The sequence below is a fragment of the Homo sapiens genome, chromosome 11 (assembly GCF_000001405.40).
Source record: "Homo sapiens chromosome 11, GRCh38.p14 Primary Assembly".
NCBI classification, from domain to species: Eukaryota; Metazoa; Chordata; class Mammalia; order Primates; family Hominidae; genus Homo; species Homo sapiens.
Window position 1 is genome coordinate 71,782,411 of NC_000011.10, and position 5,103 is coordinate 71,787,513.

Here is a 5,103-nt window from a genome sequence, read left to right on the forward strand (position 1 = left end):
CTAAAAAAATAACTGCAAGACCGGGCACGGTGGCTTATGCCTGTAATCCCAGCACTTTGGGGGGCTGAGGCAAGCGGATCACTTGAGGTCAGGATTTTGAGATCAGCCAGGCCAATGTGGTGAAATCCCATCTCTACTAAAAATACAAAAATTAGCTGGACAAGGTGGTGCATGCCTGTAATCCCAGCTATTCAGGAAGCTGAGGCAGGAGAATAGCTTCAACCTGGGAGGAGGAAGTTGGAGAGAGCCGAGATAGCGCCATTGTACTCTGGCCTGGGGCACAAGAGTGAAAGTCCATCTCCAGAAAAAAAAAAAAAAAAAAAAAACCCACAACAACAACGAGGTCCCCGCATGTGGCTGAAAACAACAGAAATGTATTGTCTCGCAGGCCTGGATGCTAGAAGCCCAAAATCAAGGTGTCGGCCGGACTTCACTTCCTCTGAAACATTTAAGAGAGAAACTTCCTTGCCTCTTCTCGCTTCTGGTGGCCGCTGGCAATGCTTGGTGTTCCTTGTAGATGCATCGCTCCAATCTCTCCTCCCTCATCACATGGCTGCCTTCTCCCTGTGTCTCTGTCTTCACCTGACATTCTCCTCTATTATTTTTTTGAGATGGAGTTTCCCTCTGTCACCCAGGCTGAAGTGCAATGGCACAATCTTGGCTCACTGCAACCTCCGCCTCCTAGGTTCCGGTGATTCTTCCACCTCAGCCTACTGAGTAGCTGGGATTACAGGCGCCCGCCACCACGCAGTGCTAATTTTGTGTTGTTAGTAGAGATGGAGTTTCACCATGTTGGCCAGGCTGGTCTCAAACTCCTGACCTCAAGTGATCCGCCCACCTCACCCTCCCAAAGTGTGCTGAGATTACAGGCATGAGCCACCATGCCCGGCCCTCATTCTCTCCTTTTATAAGGACACCAGTCGTTGCATCTGCCTCCTCACCAGCAGCCCCCAATCCAGCATGACTCATCATTACTTGATTACATCTACAAATACCCTATTTCCAAATAAGGTCACATTCCTGGGTACGGAGGATTAAGATTTCCAATTTTTTCCCTGACTCAATTGTTTTTGAGTCAGGGCCTCACCCTATCACCCAGGCTGGAGTACAGCTATGTGATTATAGCTCACTGCAGCCTCAAACTCCTGGGCTCAAGGGATCCCCTGACCTCAGCCTTCCAAGTGGCTGAGACTACAGGCGCACACCACCATGCCCAAATAATTATTTTTTTTTTTTTGTACAGATTAGGTCTCACTCTGTTGACCAGGCTGGTCTCCTGACCTCAAGTTATCGTCTTGCCTTGGTCTCCCAAAGCACTGAGATTAAAGGCGTTATCCCATGCCTGGCCCTCTTTCTATACCTCAGTCATTGTATCATTAGCCTGAGCTGCCCATATTCTTTATTCTGCCCATCCCTGACCAATCTCCTCCTTTAACATAACTTCCACCTCAATATCATGGGGCCTACTGGGCACTGCAAACAGCCTAAGGAAAGTGGAAACTTTACTTGACCTTAAACTATTACAAAGTCCACATTGAACGTAATTTATATTTGAACTATAAAATTTTCTGTAAGTTGAAACACGACCTATAAAGGTCTCTACACCCTGAAGCAACGTTTTAGAAAGAAATCAACTGGTCCTTTTCTGCAGAAACCATTAACCATAGGAGAGATAAAGGAAAAACTTCAATGTACTGATTGAACTTCCATGCCCATAGCTTAATTTCTAAAAGGCAACCATTCCATACTGTTAAACTGCCTTAGGTTGTTATTACTGTTATTAAAGAGACCCTCAAAGCCAGAAGTTGAACCTTGACTGTAGTTCTTGCACGTACACGCACACTCTTGCAACTGAAACCACTCAGATTGTCCTAATGCTGTTTCCCATAGCAACACCACCTGGAATTTTACGTTTGGTTTTAAGCATCAGTCCTAATCTTCACTTGCACTCGAACACACCGCACCTGTGAGAGCCACGTGACATTAAAAAAATCCCTTCAGTGAGGCCGGGCATGGTGGCTCACACCTGTAATCCCAGCCCTTTGGGAGGCCAAGACAGATGGATCATGAGGTCAAGAGATCGAGACCATCCTGGCCAACATGGTGAACCCCTGTCTCTACTAAAAATACAAAAATTAGCTGGGCGTGGTGACGCGTGCCTGTAGTCCCAGCTACTCGGGAGGTTGAGGCAGGAGAATCGCTTGAGCCCGGGAGGCACAAGTTGCAGGAGCCAAGATCATGCCACTGCACTCCAGCCTGGCAACAGAGGGAGACTGTCTGAAACAAATCCCTTCAGTGCCTTGATCCTTCCAGATTCAGATCCAAGATAGATGACATTTGTCCCTCATCAGAGCCCGCACACCAAGATAAAGATTTCTTCTGGCTGGGCGCGGTGGTTCACGCCTGTAATCCCAGCACTTTGGAAGGCAGAGGCGGGCGGATCACCTGAGGTCAGGAATTTGAGACCAGCCTGGCCAACGTGTTCAAACCCTGTCTCCACTAAAAATACAAAAATGGCCCGGCATGGTGGCTCACGCCTGTAATCCCAGCTACTCGGGAGGCTGAGGCAGGAGAATCGCTTGAACCCGGGAGGTGGAGGTTGCAGTGAGCCGAGATCGCGCCATTGCACTCCAGCCTGGGCAAAAAGAGAGCGAAACTCCGTCTCAAAAAAATACAAAAGAAGAAAAGATTTCTTCTCTGTGCATGGCTCAGCTCTGTGGTCTGCTAGGGTCCTTCCTCAATCCGCTTCCAATCTATGGAATCAGGAAACACTCAACCAACCTAGATTTATTAATATTTTAGTATAACATAATACAGTGTTACTTTTTATAGCATTGACCGTATATGTCCTTTTGCTCCTTGGAGGAAAGGCAATTAATAGCTATTATGTGAGTTAATAAAATAAGCCCAGGATTTATGATCGTAACTAACCTGTTCCCGTTGGTTTTCCTTGTCTCCTGCAGGCAGAGAGCTGATCAAAACAGCAAAAGCAAAGCAGTGCCTCTGGCCCAGTTCTGAAGCCAACCTTCCTTAACCACCCAGACCCATCCCTGGTTAGGACTTGCTGTGGATTCTCAGGTGACTCCATCTCAGGATACAGGGACTGAGAGGGTGTATGCAACATCTCAGACCCAGAAACTGTTGATTCTGTCTAAAAACACAGCAATAACCACATCCCACCCTCTTGATTTAAATGAAAGTGTTTGGGGGAATAAAAGATGAACCTTTTTTTTTTCTTTGTCAGATCTTGCGCTCATTTGGTTCTGGTGGGGAACAACAGCTGTGAGAGAACACGTGTATTCAATTAGAATTAATTCCCCTCTCTTATTCTCACAGCTGAGCAGGGCTCAAGTGCCTCTCATCTGAAAGAGGTAATAAGATTTAATCTGTCTCCTCATCTACCTTCTGCAAGTATACTTAAAAAATTAGCTCTCGGGACTCTTCCAAATGGAGTTTTATGAGGGATTTGCTAAGGTAAACGTTTTAGACTTTGAACACAGTTCAGATTTCAGGGGCAGTACTGAAATCTGAACTGTGTTGCTAACTGCCCTGCCTTTCAACTCAAGACACAATAACTTTGAACTAAAATAATTATATTTTTGTTGTTTTCCACTCTGACCCCACGTCTATATCACCACCACCCCCAATCCCGCCCCCCAGGAGCTAACTCCTCCTTCCTGTCCCTGCAAGATCAAAACTCCTCCTGGAAGCCCCGCTAGCTCTGTCTGCTCGCCTTCGTGGCAGATATCACTATTGTACTTTTATACTCATTTGTGTGATAAGTACTTCAATGTCCACTTCTTCCACGAGCCCCTGAGCCCCTGGAGGGCCTGGACCACACCTAGTTTTTCTCACTGTTACATATCCCTTGCCAGACACATGGTAGACGCTTAATAAGTATTTGGTGAACGAATGGCTTGTTTGGTGACAGTCCAAAGGCTAGGGGACAGAGGGAAAGCTCCCTCCTATCGGGCCCCAGACGGGTGGCGCTGATGGAGAGGAGGCTAGGATAAGGCCTCCAGGACCGAAGCGCGCACCCATAAGGCCCCTGCCAAAAAGACCTTCCTGAAGGCGGAGGAACTGTGAGAGTGCCTACGTTGGCCCAAGGCCTGACCCGACGATCCCGGGGACCCTAGCCCTAACGGCCCCGCCTCCTGGGCCCCAAACCCGGACTCGGCCCCGCCCGAAGCTCCGGATCCTGGGGCCCGACCATGGCCCCGAGTCGGCAGACCGTGGACTCGCTCCTGGGCCTGCCTCAAACCCTCCGCAGGTAACGCCTCCCGAACTTGAGCCACACTCCAATCCCCTCCTCAAACCCCTCCCCGTTTCTCACACCTTGGACCCCTCGCTCCGTCTCGGCCCAGCCCCAAGCCCAGCTCCCTCTCCGCCCCTGAGCCCAGCCCCGACCCGCCTCCCAGTCTCTTGGTCCCTCCCGACACCGGCCCCTCCCTAAGCTCCGCCTCCCAGGGCCCGCCTCCTGAGCGCAGCCCGCAGCCCGGACTCGGCCCCGCCTCCCGGACCCTGGGCCCCTCCCCACGTCGGCCCGTCCTAAGCTCCGCCTCCCAGAGTCCGAGCAGCGCCTGGCCACGTGCTACGACATAGCCAACGCCCCGCCCTGGCCCCGCCTCCTGAGCGCTTCTCCTGGTCTGGTCTTAGCCCCGCCCCAAGACCTGTCTCCTGGACTCTGCTCCGAGTCTCGCCTCCTGAACCCAATCATTGTTTATCCCCACCCTAACGCCCGCCTCCGGGAATCTTATCCTGCCCCCATGCAAGGCCCCGCCTCCAGGACGCCTCCAACCTGGACGCTTCCGAAGCCCCACTTCCAGGATCGCCCTGTCCTGGCCCCGCCCCAGGACCCACCAACCTGAACTCTCCCGAGGACCTGCCCCAACGACACTTATCCTGGCCCTACCCCAGGCCTCGCCCTCATAATGCTCATCCTAGCCCCACCCCAAGCCCCGGCCTCATAACTCTCATCCTGGCCCCGCCCTAGAGCCACCCCCACGACTCTACCTCCAGGCCCCGCCCCCTCTCTGCCCCGGTGCACTGCCCTGGGCCCGCCCCCTCTTCAGTCCAGGCCCGGCTTCCGCCCGGTCTCCCGGC

General features: G+C 51.7%; 1 annotated feature.

The window, feature by feature from the left end:
* Positions 4,382–4,691: a silencer, noted in NCBI's record as "silent region_3711". NCBI's record gives its function as "represses an Ori minimal core promoter by ATAC-STARR-seq in GM12878 lymphoblastoid cells {active_cell/tissue: GM12878}" and the evidence as "EXISTENCE:reporter gene assay evidence [ECO:0000049][PMID:35858748]".